Source organism: Homo sapiens, chromosome 2 (genome assembly GCF_000001405.40).
Source record: "Homo sapiens chromosome 2, GRCh38.p14 Primary Assembly".
In the NCBI taxonomy this organism is placed as follows: Eukaryota; Metazoa; Chordata; class Mammalia; order Primates; family Hominidae; genus Homo; species Homo sapiens.
The window spans coordinates 229,870,864-229,889,243 of NC_000002.12; the positions used below are offsets into that span (position 1 = coordinate 229,870,864).

At 38.6% G+C, this 18,380-nt stretch overlaps 1 protein-coding gene across 61 annotated transcripts in view; it reads right to left on the reverse strand.

Moving 5' to 3' along the window:
- Positions 1 to 18,380, reverse strand: part of TRIP12 (thyroid hormone receptor interactor 12) — a 159,350-nt gene that overhangs the window by 107,027 nt on the left and 33,943 nt on the right. For all 61 annotated transcript variants that reach the window (NM_001284216.2, XM_047446397.1, XM_047446395.1 and 58 more), the window contains one exon: positions 9,119 to 9,265. In NM_001284216.2, the coding sequence (NP_001271145.1) occupies positions 9,119 to 9,216 (98 nt within the window). In that variant the 5' untranslated portion in view covers positions 9,217 to 9,265. The remainder of the gene's footprint in view (positions 1 to 9,118; positions 9,266 to 18,380) is intronic.

Consider the following 18,380-nt stretch of genomic DNA (forward strand, 5'->3'; position numbering starts at 1 on the left):
ATTATTTCACTAGAAAACATCCTAATCCGGCTAGACACGGTGGCTCACACCTGTAATCCTAGCACTACGGGAGGCTGAGGGGGAGGATCACTTGAGCTCAGCCTGGCCAATGTGGTGGAACCCTGTGTCTACTAAAAATACAAAATTAGGCAGGCATGGTGGTGCACACCTGCAGTCCCAGCTACTCGGGAGGCTGAGGCAAGAGGAGGCTGACGCAGGAGGATCACCTAAGCCTGAGAGACAGAGGTTGCAGTGAGTCAAGGTCACACCACTGCACTTCAGCCTGGGCAACAGAGCAAGACACTGTCAAGAAAAGAAGAGAGGGGAGGAGAGGGGAGGGGAGGGGAGGGGACCGGAAAGGAAAGAAAAGAAGAAAGAAAAGAGAAGAGATCCTAATCCAAACATAAGTATGGTTTCTTCCCAATTTTCTTTGCAATATTAGAAAATTAAAAGACATTAGTAATATGGTTTATATGTTTGTCCCATCCAAATCTCATGTTGAAATGTTGGAGATGGGGCCTGGTGGGAGGTGTTTGAATCACTGGGGTGGATGGATCCCTCATGAATGGCTTAATGCCAATGCCCTTGGGGTGAATGAATTCTTGCTCTGAGTTCACTTGAGATCTGGTTGTTTACAAGTGTGTGCCTGCCACCCCTCCCCACCCCTTGCTCCCACTCTTGCCATGTGGTATGCTGGCTTTGCTTTCTGCCGTGATTTTAAGCTCCCTGAGGCCCTCACCAGGAGCAGATGCCAGCGCCACACTTTTTGTACAGCCCACAGAACCATAAGCCAATTAAACCTCTTTTCTTTATAAATTACCCAGTCTCAGGTATTCCTTTACAGCAATGCTGAAGCCTAATATAATTTGAAATTAGAAAATACAAAAACAAAATATTAATAAGGAAAATCAATAATCCTAGTATAATCAACTAGTAATTATATGCAAATGAAAGTAGTCTTATAGAAGACAATTTTCTAGAAGAGTAAATATTTGAAAACATACTCAACCCAGCAATTCCACTTGCAATAACCTAGCTAGTACTAACTAGTACTAGAGAAGTACTAGTACAAGTTCACGATGACAGTGAGAATGTTCAGGTGTGGCATCATTTGCTATGGCAAAAACCTGAAACCAAATGATGAAAGGAGTGATTACATATATGCATAATTGATATATCTACATAACGGAAAATTATAGAGACATTAAAACTGATAATATAGTTTTAATGACAGATATTGTAAAAAAAAAAAAAAAAAAAAAAAAAAAAGAAGCCTATATTAAGGCCAGGTGCAGTGGCTCATGCCTGTAATCCCAGCACTTTGGCAGGCCAAGGCAGGAGGACTGCTTCAGGCCAGGAGCTTGAGACGAGTCTGGGCAACATAGCGAGACCCCCATCTCTCTTTTAAAAAAAGAAGAGTCTGGGTGTGGTGGCTCATGCCTGTAATCCCAGCACTTTGGGAGGCCAAGAGGGGCAGATCACTTGAGCCCAGGAATTTGAGACCAGCCTGGCCAACAAAGTGAAACCCTGTCTCTACTAAAAATACAAAAATTAGCCAGCTGTGGTGACAGGCACCTGTAGTCCCAGCTGCTCAGAAGGCTGAAGGAGGAGAACTGCTTGAACTCGGGAGGCAGAGGTTGCAGTGAGCCAAGATCCCACCACTGCACTCCAGCCTGTGAGACAGAGCAAGACTCTGTCTCCAAAAAAAATAAAGAAAAAGATGCCTATGAAACAGTTAATGAAGACAGCAAGTCACATTACGGTATGTAAAATAATTCTATCCTTAAAAAGAAAGAAATGAACAAAAATACAAATACAAAGCTGTCAAAAATGTCCTCTTACTCTAAAATCTTCCTGTCTTTTAAGAGTCTGTTAAACTCTGCACCTTCTACAAACTCTTAAGTATCCCTATAAACTTACAGGACTTACAAGACTCAAGTCTACTTTCCTAACCAGTGTATGTCATTTATCTTCTAATGGGTAACTCCTGTCTTGCCAACTGTTTTAAAGCTTCTTTGAGACTGACTTATACTTCTCCAAGCCAGCCTTTAAGGAATAGGACTGTAGTTTTTACACAATAAACTGGTAAGTATCAGCTAAACCAATTAAAAAGTCAGTTCTCCTGTACAGTGGTACAAAGGGAGATTAATAACAAATACAAAGAAAAAAATAATAGAAGGAGACTGCATCAAAAATTATTCTCAGCCAGACTCATTCTTTAAACCTACTTTTTCAATGTGACCTCATTACTAGAGAAACAGCAATAAAACAAGAATAAGGGTTTTCTTCTTTATCAAATTAGCAGAAAAATGCAAAATGGAGATAACGTGACTAGAACAATGAGAAAAAGCACTCTTTCCCCTGATGGTGATAATGTGAACAGGAAGTAAAAAATTAATGCACAACAAAGTTATTCATAAAAAAGTCCCTTGGACCAAGCAGTTTCACTTCAGGGAATCTATCCTGAAGAGATACCTGAAATGTGAACATTTGGAGCATAAGCAAAAACAATTTCTCCTAAACCTACCTAACTATCCAAAAACTGAAAAAAGTAGCCATGGAAAATACTGTATACTCATTCAGTGAATAATGTGGCCACCATTTGTAAATGATTACCAAAAGATCACAATGACATGGGCAATGTTAATGTTAGGGTATTGAGAGAAAAGAGCAGGATACCAAACTGTACACACAGTGTGATCTGCCAAAGTGTACAGATAAAAAAAGTTAACACAGACTTTTCTCTGAATAGTTCTTATTTTCTTTTTGTACTTTTCTGCATCCCAATCCTTTGAAATAGTTTTTTTAAGTGAAAACACAACTCTATTTCTTTCTATATAACTAATGGGGGTTTAAAAAAATCTCTGCTCTAAAAATGTAAAGAAAAATAATAAATAGAAGGCTATATCCTATATTTCTCACAATTGAGTTTTTACTGAGTAATACATAATTATTAAAACTTTGCAGGCAAATTTTTTGATGGGGGTGAGAAGTAGGCAACTGTATACAAGCATTTCCTCTCATCATTCAAAAACTTCAGACAGATTCTAGTCAGATGTAAAAACGGGTCCATAACAAAGCTGAGGAAAAATTTATTCTTAGCATGGAGAAGGCAAAGGAAGAAAAACAGAGTTGGTAGACTTAATTATCTGATTTTAAAATGTTGTAGAAATTAAAATAAACCATAAAAAAAAAACAGAAAAAAAATTTGTCCATGTTAGTGAATCAACACCTTTCACATAAAGGGCCCTAATAAAAGAGTAAGTATCTCCAAAATTAGACAAAAGACGCTAACAAACAGCTCAGAAAATAAATGAAAATGGCCCACGGAGCAAATTTTTCCACTCTATAGTAAACGAAGAAATGCTAACTTTAAACCAAGGAATTCTTTTTCCCCACAAACTTTTCTTTTTAAAAAGGGTATGCTCTATTGACTAGGATTTGGCAAAATGAGGACTCTCATGAAGTATTAGAAGTATTAAATTGGCCCAAGATTTCTGAAAGACAAAAGTCTTCAAAATATTCATACCCTTAGATTCTGTAAACCCATTTTCAAGAATTCGACTTGATAAAACCAGCTCACATTCAAATATGATAGGCATAAGCAATATTTTTTACAGCAAAAATCTGAGGAAAAAACCTAGAGGCCCAAATTTAAATCATGGGCTTTTATATTAAAGAAAATCATGGAGCCACTTTAAATTACCTCATGGAAGAATGTTACAGAATTCCAGAAAATACATCTAGTGATAACATCATCCCTATTATTTGTATGTTGCAAGTATACATATATTGATCTCTGTGGAATTTTGAAAAAAACAAAAAGAAGCTACACGTATAGAAAAGACTGTAAGAACATAGACTAGAAATATTAACCATGGTTATCTCTGAGTGGTAGGATTAAAATTGTTTTCTTTAATTTTCCTGAAGCGTCCCAATTTTCTATTCTCAATATGCACTGTTTATATAGTTAAATCAACCTTGAAGACACTACCACTAAAGCAATCTTAAAGTTGCTATAAAATTAAATTCAATCCTACCACTGCCACTTGAGAAAAACAAGAAAAAGCACACGGTATAATAAAAACGCTACTGCATTGCCAAGAGGGAGGTGGTAGCCTACAAATACCTGTGCTAGAACTGGAAAAGGCTAGGTAGTATCCCTGAGAGCAAGTCAACAGAGAAGCAGTGGAAAGGAGTGATTTCCTATAGAAGAAAAAGAGAACAGAAAAGAGAGGAACAGGTCAGCTACAATCCAAAAAATTAGAGAGGAAAGGGGCTAAGAAAAATAATAGAAGAGGAATAAGATGCCTAGTTCAACTGTGGATAGTGATGAAGGATGGGTGAAAAGGAGAGCAGAGGTAAAATTAAAAGGGATTAAATATATCCTCAGACTCTACTTTCATTTATCTTAAGAATGAATTTAAACTATTTTTAAAAAGAAACCATCTTGATTTGGGAGAAAGGCACAAGAGGTCACTGGAAGGAGGTTACACAAAGAAGACAGCTTAATGCAGAGGTTTAGAAAAAAACAGAGTGGGTCAAAAATGAATCCTAGCACAAATCCTAGGAGAGAAAAGTGCTACTTAAATTCAAAACTAAAGTTTATACCCTCTTCTAACACTCCCTCATCATACGGATCCAGTGGGCTGCAATGAAACACTCTGGCATAATGAAAAGGTACACTGACTTTACAGTCAAGAGGTCTGGAAACAAGTCCTGACTACACACTAGCTATACAAAGTTGAGCAAGCTTCCACATTTGTAAGAGAGATTACATATTTAATTTCTGAGTTTCAACTGAAAGAATGTGTAATAATTTTTTAAACTTAAAACACTCCATTAATGCTGTTGTGTAACTGCTATTATTATCATTAGTTGAATCACTGTATCACTGTGAATACCTTTATGGGGCAAGTCAACCATTTTCAGGAAACGAAGGCTACAATGACAGCATTTTACTTAGGAAGGCTAAACGAGTCACATGAAGAGAATAAATATATAGCTGTAATTGTTCTCTCCCAATTAATCCCAATCCTCTCACTCCCAAAACTCCCTGGAAAGGTTTCTGAGAGTTTAGATAATTGCTAGAACAGTACACTCTATAGGGGTTTCAAAAGTCAATCTGGGTCAGGTGCAGTGGCTCATGCCTGTAATCCCAGCACTTTGGGAGGCTGAAGTGGGTGGATCACCTGAGGTCAGGAGTTCAAGACCAGCCTGGCCGACATAGTGAAACCTCGTCTTTACTAAAAATACAAAAATTAGCCAGGTGTGGTGGCCCGTGCCTGTAATCCCAGCTACTCAGGAGGCTGAGAGGCAGGAGAATTGCTAGAACCCAGGGGGAGGAGGTTGCAGTGAGCCCGGATGATGCCACTGCACTCCAGCCTGTGTGACAAGAGCAAAACTCCATCTCAACAAAACAAAACAAAAATATATCAACCTGGGGGCTGATAAGAAGGCCTTCAAAGTTACTCCCAGTCTTGACATTTTATTATGAGCAAAAGAATCAAGCCAAGACGGCAAAATGATATTTAGAAGAGCCAGCATCTTCTCATCTCATTTGCATTCTTAAAACTAATAAGATGTTTTGGCTAAAGCTCTAAATTTCTATGTCCTGATCACACTCTTCACAACTGAGCATATTATTGACTGGCTTAAACTACATGAACTACAACAAGATTTGTCATTCTACAAATCTAATCGAGTTCCATCTCTGTTACAACTTTGAGCTACTTAAACCAACACATCTTAATCGCTAGTATTAACCACTTCCATTTATGTCCCACTACTTTGTTTATTACTTATTTATTTTTTGAGACAGGGTCTTTCTCTGTCGCCCAGGCTGGAATGCACTGGCGTGCCCAGTCATAGTTCACTGAAACCTTGAACTCCTCGGCTCAAGCGATCCTCCCACCTCAGCCTCCTATGTAGCTAGAAATATCAGTGTGTTCCACTGTGCGCAGCTAATTTATTTTTTGTAGAAACAGAAAACTTCTACATGTGTCTTGTGATGACACATGATGTGTATTGCTATGTTGCCCAGGCTGGTCTCGAACTCCTGGCCACAAGTGATCATCCCACCTCAGCCACCTCAAGTACTGAGATTATAGTCATGAGCCACCATGCTCGGCCTTACTCATTTTTTTAAAATACATGATACTAGGTTGGTGCAAAAGTAATTGTGATTTTTGCTATTAAAAAAAACTGCAAAAATCACAATTACTTTTGCATCAAGTTAAATACACAGCTGGGCATACTGGCAGGCGCCTGTCTTCTCAACTACTTGCGATGCAGTGAGCTATGATTCCATCACTGCACTACAGCCAGAAAAATAGAGTTAGACTCTGTCTCTAAAAATAAAATAAAAACATAATACAATTTACAAAATTTTTTAGGCTGGGCGCTGTGGCTCATGCCTGTAATCCCAGCACTTTGGGAGGCCAAGGCGGTTGGATCAGGAGTTCAAGACCAGCCTGGCCAAGATGGTGAAACCTCGTCTCTACTAAAAACACAAAAATTAGCCGGGCAAGGTGGCAGGCGCCTGTAATCCCAGCTACTACTTGGGAGGCTGAGGCAGGAGAATCACTTGAACCCAGAGGGCAGAGGCTGCAGTGAGCAGAGATCACAGCACTGCACTCCGGCCTGAGTGACAGAGTAAGACTCCGTCTCAAAAAATAAATTAAAAAAAATTTTTTAATCTACATAACACTGATATATAGAAAAAATGACCATGCTGAAACACTGTGGATTTTAGAAGCAATGCGCTGTTGATAGCCCACAATGATTGTCAGTTCACATGCAAGAGTCCCAATGCAACCTGAGGATTAATATGCATAAAACCGCAGTTGTTCTAAAGGTACAAGTTACTTACATGCACATACATAATGTACATCTACACGCAGTTTTTTAAAAGACAGAAGAAATGTCAATAGTAACCAATGTCAACAGCACACGTTATAAGTGTGGAATTATGTTTTTCTTTTTAGTTTTCTATATATTCAAAATAATCTAAAATGAACATGTAACACTTTTATTACAGGAGGAATAATATTTTAAAATCAGTCACATGAAGTTGAGTGTGGCTGCTCCAAAGAATAACCTGAATGTAAAAGAGCAAACATTTTCAGAACAGAGCTCTATATACTAAGTATAAGTGATAAGAGCTTAACATGCTAAAATACTGAAGTTTACCAATAATCCTATGAAATAGCTATCCCATTCTGTGGACTAAGAAACTGAGGTTTCCTGAAACTCTTAACAAAAGACACATAGCTATTTAATGGCAGAGGCAGAAATCACACACAAAGGCTGGGCGCGGTGGCTAACACCTATAATCCGAGCACTCTGAGGCCAAGGCCAATGGATCACTTGAGGTCAGGAGTTTGAGATCAGCCTGACCAACATGGTGAAACACCATCTCTACTAAAAATACAGAAATTAGCCAGGTGTGATGATGCGTGCCTGAAATCCCAGCTACTTGGGAGGCTGAGGCAGGAGAATCGCTTGAACCCGGGAGGTGGAGGTTGCAGTGAGCCAAGATCATGCCGCTGCACTCCAGCCTGGGCGACAGCAACTGTTTTAAAAAAAAAAAAAAAGAAAACAAAACAAAAAGAAATCACACGCAAAGCTGCCCTAGTCCAAAGTCCCTATGCTTAACCACTAAATAGTCTGACATCACCATGATGTGCTTTTATTCTTTACATTTGACATTAAAAAAAAATTTTTTTTTTTTGAGACGGAGTCTCGCTCTGTCTGTCGCCCAGGCTGGAGTGCAGTGGCGTGATCTCGCTCACTGCAAGCTCCGCCTCCCGGGTTCACGCCATTCTCCTGCCTCAGCCTCCCGAGTAGCTGGGACTACAGGCGCCCACCACCATGCCCAGCTAAATTTTTTTGTATTTTTGGTAGAGACGGGGTTTCACCATGTTAGCCAGGATGGTCTCGATCTCCTGACCTCGTGATCCGCCCACCTTGGCCTCCCAAAGTGCTGGGATTACAGGTGTGAGCCACCGCGCCCGGCCTAAAAAATTTTTAAATACTTTACTAGATAATATGCATTCATGGTTATGGCCGCAAACTGCTGTATGAGATAATCCTATTAGAATTCAGCAGCTGAGCGCAGTGACTCACACCTATAATCCCAGCACTTTGGGAGGCCGAGGCGGGTGAATCGCTTGAGGTCAGGAGTTTGAGACCAGCTTGGCCACCGTGGCAAAATCTTGTCTCTGTGTCTCAAAAAACATTAGCTGGGTGCGGTGGTGCACACCTGTAATCCCAGCTACTTGGGGGACTGAGGTGGAAGGATTTTTAAGCCTCAGAAGCAGAGGTTGCAGTGAGCTGAAATAGTGCCACTGCACTCCAGCCTGGGTAACAGAGCGATGAGACTCTCAAAAACAAAAAAATTTAACAATTATCCATCACAAGCTAAACGTAATCAATGTTAGTCCCAAAATTAGAGAACTAGGCCTTGCAAGAAGAGTTCTGAGTATTTTTTACATGAAGTGACAGTCCTTGGCTAAATCTGACTTGGAGTATTACATTCAAGAAAACACATCTGATCTGATTCTTCACACTACTTCATATGTAACTACTCCAACTAAAAAGAAACACCAGACCACTAAAAACATAAGACAACTCGTTCACTAACAAAGTCAGAGTGCCTCACTACCCTGTTAATATCTATGCTGTCAAAAGGCATGATGAGGACAAAAGCTCAAAAGCTGAGTATTAAAACTCAAGTTCTTAAAACAAATGAGGCCTCTTTTCCATAAAGTATCATTAAGTCAACACATAAGGAAAAAGACCACGAATGGTGAAAGATGTGTTGTAACATACATTTAACGAAGTGAAGAGAAAGGGCAAACAAAACATGACACACCACATGCTAAATGAGGTGTCTGATCATGTCAGTGGCTATGAACTACTTCTTTGAGTCTAGCATATCTGGGGAAAAATTTAGGAACTGCTTTGGATTCCAGTTTGCTTTTAAGTACCTGGCTCACAAATCAGGAAAAATTACCCATATGCAATGAACCATTCAAGTTTTGGACCTCGCAAGGAGGCTTAAAAATATTTTTTCTTTTATTCCCAATTCCTTTTCAAATTACCATGAAATACATACCTTCCTCCTATTGAGTCGTCTTGTGGTTGGGCCCCGGCAGTGTTCCTCTGTGAACGTCGCAGTGACCCCCCTGGATTGTTATTAGGCCGGTTGGACATTGGCACCTCTCTCTTGAAGGGACATACCCTTTCTAGACACTACCATTCACTAAAAGAAAAAAAAATAAACAAAATTTATCAGATGTACAAAATACAATATGGAAAAGAAATGAGGGGAACTTACGGTGACATGGAAATTTTCTGCAAACTATCTGATTTTACAGCCTTCACCCATGCTGCAATGTCTCACTGAACTGTGAAGTCTGACTGATCAACGTGTTAACAAAATGTCAGGGTACGTGTAACATATTCAAGCCATGTGGTCCCGGACTCAGTATATAAAATTAACTTAGATTTCACGGAATAGCCAGAAAATTCTCAATTCAAAGAAAACAGAGCACAGGTAGAAATATGTCTTCGTTTCCCCATTCTAGTATTGTGCCTAAACAGGCACTACACCTCAAGTCAAAAGATGATGGCTCAAGTCTTGTGACGGAATAGGTGTTAAAGAAGTTTGCCTTTGTACAAATCACAGCCTCTAAGCCTAGGATTCCTTAGACACAGAATTAACAATGTATGTCATGTCTTCTTCACAGTATTGTTGTGAATAACAAATGAAAAAATAAATACAAACAAAATCGTGGCCGGGTGGAGTGGCTCACACCTGTAATCCCAGTATTTTGGGAGGCTGAGGTGGGTGGATCATCTGAGGTCAGGAGTTCAACACCAGCCTGGTCAATATGATGAAACCCCGTCTCTACTGAAAATACAAAAATTAGCCAGGTGTGGTGGCGCACATTTGTAAACCCAGCAACTTGGGAGGCTGAGGCAGGAGAATCGCTCGAACCCGGGAGGCAGGGGTTGCAGTGAGCCTAGATCATGCCACTGGATTCCAGCCTGGGCAACAGAGTGAGACTCCACCTCAAAACTAAACAAAACAAACAAAATTGTAAAACTATAGTATCTTACTGAAAAGATGAGGAGAAAACAGCTCAAATAGAGTAAATTGAGCAATGGTCTCAGATATTCTGGATTTTCAACAGCAGCTCTGCTGGCCGTGACCTTGGACAAAATAATCTCTACCTTTAATTTACTCTCCTTTAAAACCAGTACGTTACCTACCTCAACAGAGTTGTCAGCAACAAGAAATTGCGAAAGTATTTTTAGCTCAAATTTAGCTCAAAACAGTTCTTAATCAAACTGAACTTTCTATAAGAAATGATTGTGCAGATAAAATATCGAAACTCAGAAAATTAGTTTAACTGGTAAAACAAGCCAACATAACAATCATAGAATTACGACATGCACAAATAAAATCTTGCACTATTTTTTGTAAGCCTGCAGTCAAATTCCAAGTGGAGTTCTTTCATTACTTCTATTTACTGGGAAAGAGAGTGAACATATGACATTATAGAAACTGGTGCCAAAGAGAATGCAAATTAATCATAATTAAATCTATTACTGTACTGGATTTTGTTTTAGAGATTCCTTATACTGTAATAAGAAAGTAGTTTTCTTTTGGGTTATATTGTTGATACAATTCAGTAGAAAAAGACTGTTTCTATCACATATGTCCAAATTAATATAATAAACTTTAATTAGAAAGTTCAAATTACTAATTTAAGGATAGTCAGTTTTAGAAAGAAAAAAATAAATACAATTAAACATTAAAAGAGAGGCAGGCAGAGAGAGAAGAAAAGGTTAAACTTATGCGTACTGATATGGAAAGATATGAAACTCTCATTTGTGTGTATGTATACCAAGAAGACTTGTATATAAGTTTCTGTATACTGTCCACGTTAAAAATTCATGGAAAGATGCATGAAACATACTTCGTTAATAATGACTGCCTTTGAGAAAGGACTGGGGGATCCAGAGTTTAGAATGGAAGAAATCATTTTTGTTGTCATTGAGACTGATTGTCAATTTATAAGGAATTAAACAGGCTGCTCTAGCATAACAGCTTTAAGTACAGAGCTCTCAAGTCAAACTGTCTCTGCCCAAGTTCAATTCTGGACTCTAACACTAACAAGTTGTACATAATCTTGCATATATGAGTGTGTGCATACATACTTCCCCCTGTGCTTCAATCTATCAAATGAGGATAAAGAACTCACATGGCAGTTGTGAAGATCAAATGATAAATCCATGTAAACTACTCAATACAGTGCCAATCATGTAGCAAGTGCTCAGTACATGTTAAGTATTATTATTACTATAAACATTTATTCAAAAGAATAAAAATACTTGTGGTAAAATAAAATCTAATATATTGGGAAAGGCTTCACCATAAAAATCACTGTCTATATGAGTCTTAATTTTTGGCAAAATACTTTCAAAAGTGAAATGTTTTTAATTAAGGGTAAACATCTCAATCACCTGGGAAGCTTTGTCAAAATATGAATGCCTGTCCCCTAACCTCAGATCCTCATTCTTTGGGCACAAAAATTGGAGACATAGTTTAAAAGAGCTTTCCTGGGTATACTGCGATACACCAAGAAGTTCAGCACATCAAAGAATAAAAGGCCAGTCTTTTTCAAAATTCATGTTAGAAATTTCTCTACTTCAATCATCTCAATGCCATTTCACCTGGACCCAAACAGCAAGGACAGATACAAGAGAATAGGATGATACTGCTGCTCTCACTTTAAAAGGCAAAGAATAGTATTATAAACAAGGTTAGTAGTTGTCACCTGCCCACCTTCTGCTATTAAACGCCTACTGTATGTCATGGAGTGTTAAGTCATTCAAATGAAACTAAGTCAGGCTAGTTGTTTTGACCTAGAGTCACCTAGGTAACCTTAACAATGCTCCCCAACATCTTCAGTGCTGGTCAACCAGCACCATTATCAGCCAACAGCCTATTTGTCGATAATTCTTGAGATATAAGAGGAAGAATAGCAGGTAAGAACAAAGCTGTTTATCAAATTACTCCCTGCTGTTAAAGCATAAATTCATCTTTTTAAAAAGAGGCCAGGCTTTGTAAAACATTTGAACTTTAATTTCCTGAAAGTAAATAAAAGATTAACATATGATGGATACAGGATCTCTCCCTCTGCCAGGTATCAATAAAACCAGAGGGCTGGAAGGGACCCTCGGAGATGATCAAGTTCAACCCCTTATACTTTGCAGACAAATCCAAATGAAGAAAGTTCCAAGTAATTTGTTGAAGAACCAGTCTTCTGAATCCTGGTACTGAGCAGTTCTACACACTTCATAGGTATCACCACCTCAACTTCAAAAAAAGTTTAATGCCTCTTTGGCTTCAGCTAAGAACCCAGAGGCCAAAAGTTTTCTCTACGCAATGAATTACAGAATGTTTTCCTTATAGAATATTCTGTACTGACTTGACCAATTACTTATGTCTACCATATATTACTTAATTTTTAAAACACAAGTGGGAATTACACTATTACACTGCTAAAAGTTATGTTTTCATAGCCGGTAGTGAATATGAACTCGAAGATTCCATCTTAACAGATTAACTCCTAGTGTGAAACTAGAATTATAAACCCAATTTAATATCCCTATCAAATCCTGAAATACACTAGTCTTTTCTAACCATGGCCATACCTTCATTTCTGTAAAACTAATCAAGATTTTTCACATAAAACCTTTGATATTCAGTCCTAAGGTACTGAAATAAAATAGAGAACATGTATGACTTTAACAGGAAAAACAAAAAGGCTAATGGATGTCTTCAAGGTTGAAAACAAATTCACGACAATTTTAATCACAGAGTATACAACCAACTTATTCACTGTTTAAGTTAAATGACTTTTCATTTTATGTGAAAATGTATTTAACTCTACACGCAAATACCACATAGAGAAACAAAAACAAAAACAATCGGCTGGGCGCGGTGGCTCACGTGAGGTCATGAGTTCGAGACCACCCTGGCCAACATGGTGAAACTCCATTTGTACTATAAATACAAAAATTAGCCAGGTGTGGTAGTGCGCACCTGTAAAATCCCAGCTACTTGGGAGGGTGAGGCAGGAGAATCGCTTGAACTCAGGGGGCAGAGGTTGCAGTGAGCCAAGATTGCACCACTGCACTCCAGCCCAACTAATAGTGAGTCCATTTCAAAAAAAAAACCCAAAAACCTGTATGTTGTTGTTTTATATTTACATTTAAAAATTCATTCCTAAAATATCTATCAAGAATAGTCCTTAAAGGAAAACTTAAACTAAAAACATTTTGCAATTTTTCTTTTCTTTTTTTTTTTTTTTTTTGAGACAGAGCCTTGCTCTGTTGCCCTGGCTGGAGTGCAGTGGCACGATCTCGGCTCACTGTAACCTCCACCTCCTGGGCTCAAGCGATTCTCCTGCCTTGGCCTCCAGAGTAGCTGGGATTACAGATGCCTACCACCATACCCGGCTAATTTTTGTATTTTTAGTAGAGATGGAGTTTCATCTTGTTGGCCAGGCTGGTCTTGAACTCATGACCTCAAGTGATCCGCCCACCTCGGCCTCCCAAAGTACTGCAATTACAGGCGTGGACCACTGCCTGTGCCTGGCCGGAAATTAATTTTTCTTCTAAATTCTTAATATCATACGCACACAAAGAAAGGCTAAAAAAAACCCAAAACATTTTTTAAAAATTCAATCCTTCCTCTGGTACAGAACTTTCAGAACACTGAAAGAAATCACCTGCAAAAAAATAAAGCCAGGCACGGTGGTGGATGCCTGTAGTCTCTGCTGCTGGGAGGCTAAGGCAAAAGAATCACTTGATCCCAGAAGTTTGAGGCCAGCCCAGGCAACACAGGTACAGAAACCTTGTCTCTGTAAGAAACTTAAAAATTAGCCAGGCAGGACGGTGCACACCTGTGGTCCCAGCAACTCAGAAGGCTGAGGTGGAAGATTACTTAAGCCTGGGAGGACGAGGCTGTGGCAGGCCGTGATAATACTACTGCACTCCAGTCTGGGTAACACAAGGAGACCGTCTCAAAAAAACAAACAAACAAAAAATACAGCCACATATTGCACTAGTGACATTCTGTTCAACAACTGACCAGAAATACAACAGTGGTGCCATAAGATTACATAATACCACATATTTACTGTGATTTTTCTATGTTTGGATATTTTTAGACACACAAATATTTACCATTTTGTTACAACCACCTACAGTATTTGGTAGAGGAACAGGTATGTTACAAACATGTTGCTATGTTTGCAACAGGTAAATCTCATTTGTCCAGTATGTACCCCCCTAATTTCTTACGGACTTATTTAGATTTGGTCCTCCAAAAAGGCTTGGTTTAGCTTCAGATCATTAACTTGGAGGTAAATTACAGTAATAAACACAATTTGCAAGGTACTTTACTCATTTTGTAAAATTTAAATGTGACAAGGAGTCATATAAACCATTGCCCATTAGTCCTATTTTACAAATAAAGAAACTGAAATGTTACAAAATTAGTACCCTGCATGAAACAAGTAATGGCATCCAGACCTGCAGACTGCAAGCAAGAACTGACATCTGGAGCTCCAGTTCTGAACTACACACACCAGATAAAGAAGGAAATGACTAGGTCCCAGAACCAAGTGTGGTAAGGGGCAGCATATATTAAACCACTACAATAAAACAAAATAGAAATCACCCTTGTGTATAAAAGAAGTCATTCTTGCCTACCTAAAAACAGCAAGGACTTCAAATAAGCCTATCTTTAAAGTGGGAATGAATAACCCTTAACATTCCCCAAAAGCACTGAGAGGTGCTGAGATTGAGAGGTGCCGAGAAACAATGACAAGACAATCCCTCCTCACAAGGAGCTTACTGCTCTGTATCGCCCACCTAGGCTCAAATTCTGCCTCTGCTGCTTGGTAAGACCTACAAGTACTTACCTTCATCTCAGTTTGTTTCTCCATTTAATTAGAGACAATATTATACTTTGGGATTTAAGTATTAGAGAACTGCATATAAGGCTCTCAGAACCTTACCTGAACATGATAGCTGCCATTTAATGAGTACTTATTAAGTACAATCTTAAAGAAAAACGGGGGAAATCATCAGGTCCATCATGTGCCAGAAAGGAATTGAAGGGGAAAAAGAACAAAAACTTTCTACAAAACCACTGGGACAGTTTATTATTTTACTTTGATTTAGGAAGGAAGCAATACAAAATCAGCAGTTTTGTATGGTATATTCGTAAGTCAAATGTCAAACTCTTAAGTAGCCATATGTCAAACCTGAAATAGCTGTATCTGATATAGAACAGCACAATGCAGTTTATTAGTTCACGTTTGAATTAAGGGCAACAGAAATTTACTGCCTTTTTTTCCAGTTAATCAGAAAAGTTCTATAGAGAAATTAGGAGAGTAAGGGCCATTGAGTGCAAGAGAAAGGGCTACGTTAGGGTCTGTTAGGCACTGAATGCAATTTATGGGCATCAAAACCATTTGAATGTGATAACGGGATATTATACAACATGTAAAAATAGCATTTTTTTTTTTTTTGAGACGGGATCTCACTGGACACCCAGGCTGGAGTGCAATGGCGCGATCTCGGTTCACTGCAACCTCCACCTCCCAGGTTCAAGCGATTCTTCTGCCTCACCTCAGCCTCCCGGGTAGCTGGGACTACAGTCGTGCAACACCATGCATGGCTAATTTTTGTATTTTTAGTACAGACAGGGTTTCACCACATTGTCCAGGCTGTTCTCAAACTCTTGACCTCAAGTGATCCACCCTCCTTGGCCTCCCAAAGTGCTGGGATTACAGGCATGAGCCACTGTGCCCGGCCAAACTAGTATTTTCAAATTGTATTTTTATAACACTAGAAAACAATATTTAATGGAAAAAATACAAGATTTAAGTTGAACAGTAAAGTATGGGTTACGTGTATTCTGTGCTTAGCATGTACCAGGCAATGTGCTTTAAATCATTTAATTTTCACACCAACTTTACAAAACTGGTAGTGCAAATAACCTTCTTAAAAAGAAATCATGACACACAGTAAGTTAAAATAACCCTAAGGCTACAAAGCTAATAGGGGACGGGCTCAGCACTCAAATACAAGTTTGACTGAGCAAACAAGGAAAAATAATTATGTATTTACCTTAAAAAAAATCAAAATACTAGAAAGCCATGACATCCCAAGCTTAAAGGATTATGGGGGATAGAAAGAAAATTCTGATCCTTTGCCATTTGGTAAATCAGCTTAGCTGGCCAATCATTAAGTGAATAATTATAAAATATGCTAAATTGATTTGAGAAGCAAGATCAAATGTACTACTCTAAACAAAGAAGAAAAAGGTGGCTAACTTTGCCTTCACAGGTTGAGGATGACCAGTCACTTCTGCTGATGTTCCTTGAAATGCTAGAGCAGTGAGGAAAGACATGGAGGAATGAGAGAATAAATTATAATGCAGGGATGTGGAGTGGTTCCTTGAGCCTGAAAATAAGCCTAAACTCTATCATGAAGGGCCAGAAACAAAAAGTTTTACATTTAAGACCTACAGATAAGGAGGCAGATCAAGTAGAAAGCTACCAAACAGATCTAAGGGTAGATGAGGATCTGTTAACAATGGAAGAAGGCAAAATGAAGACGGGGTCAAGAAACATTTTGATGACAGGATCTACACAGTGAGAAAGAATAGTCTAAGACTGTGGTTCTCAGACTTCAGACAAATATAAACCCTAAAATGACTCAAATTTCTTACACTGGTGACAAAGGTTAAGAAAAGTTATCTAAAACATATAAAGAAGATGACTGCACATCCTTTCAATGTCCTAGGAAATGCTACATCAGAGGCTTACCTAGGAATTATTTAATTTTCTGCAAGAGCATCATATTTTAATTTTGCTATTATATTTACTATTAATCAGGGGTTCAGACATTAAAGTTACATGTTAACCTGTAGATTTAAGTCTGGAGAAATACAGTTTATGTACAGAAGAAAAGACAACCCCAAAGATTGCAGTTTGTTGCCTGTAGGTTATCAGTAATCTCATTCTAAAATTCTTTATTAAATTGCCTATAAATACCCAGTTCCCCAAATGCTCTTTAAACTAGCTTTACTACAACAGCTTCCTGTCCTTATTAACTAGTCAAACAGTATCTTTGCTATTTACATTCTATAGTTCTAAAAGTCATGCTTTTAACTTTAGAAAATTATACAAAATGATTGTAGCAGCATTATCAAATGATACACATGAGCAGAAAGAGTACATTTAGTGTTAATCATATAAAACCTGACTCATCATGTAGGTATCCAGGTAGAGTTTCAATAAGCAAATGGAAGTAAAGATTGAGAATTATGTAGGCAACTGGATATACAGATGGGAGAAATTACACTGACATGCAGGAGGTAAGAGAAACCAAGGTAATCAATAAGATTCTATTTTCTCTATGAAAAACAGACAGCATAAAGAGAGGAATACGCCCAGGATGAAATATTGGGAAATGCTAAAATCTAAGGAAAACATAAAAAAAAAGAATCCAGTCAAGGAAAATCAAGAACTTACCACAAGCACTGGGAAAATAAATCAGGATAGTGGTGTTGGCAGACACCAAGAGGAAGACAGATAGGCAGAGTTCAAAAAACTCAAAAATGTCCATCAGATTTAGAAAATGGCGAGAGCAGCCTGGGCAACATGGCAAAACCCCATCTCTACACAAAATACAAAAATTAGCGAGGGCGTGGTAGCGCGCCTGTAGTCCCAGCTGCTCAGGAGGCTGAGGTGGAAGGACTGCTTGAGCCCAGGATGCGGAGGTTGCAGCGAGCCAAGATTGCGCCACTGCTCTCCAGCCTGGGGGACAGAGCGAGACTTTGCCTCCAAAAAAAAAACAAAAGAAAATGTTGAGAGCTATTTCTAGAAATGGTGGGGAAGGAGAGGGTATAAGGTAAGATAATAAATACCAACTCTCTTCTGGAAGTGCTAGACTTTATAAAGAGAAGAGACAATAGCCAGGAGAGAAGGGAAGGCAGAGAGACAAAGGCTGTGTTTGCATGGATATATGTAATTTCCCTGTTTGTCGTTTTTAAAAAAATAAATTTTGAGCATATGTATTTAGGTAAAGAAAAGAATTACTGAAAGAAAAGGTTGGGAATAAAGGACAGTCTACTAACAGGATCCCGCAGGGGGAAAAAAATTAAGAGCATAAGCTTTGGATCAGAAGAGCATATCAATCTCTGAGGCATGAGAAGATGACAACTCCAAGTAAGGAAGTACGTGCCTAACTTGTTGAATCTGTGATTAACAGGTGTGAGAAAAGCA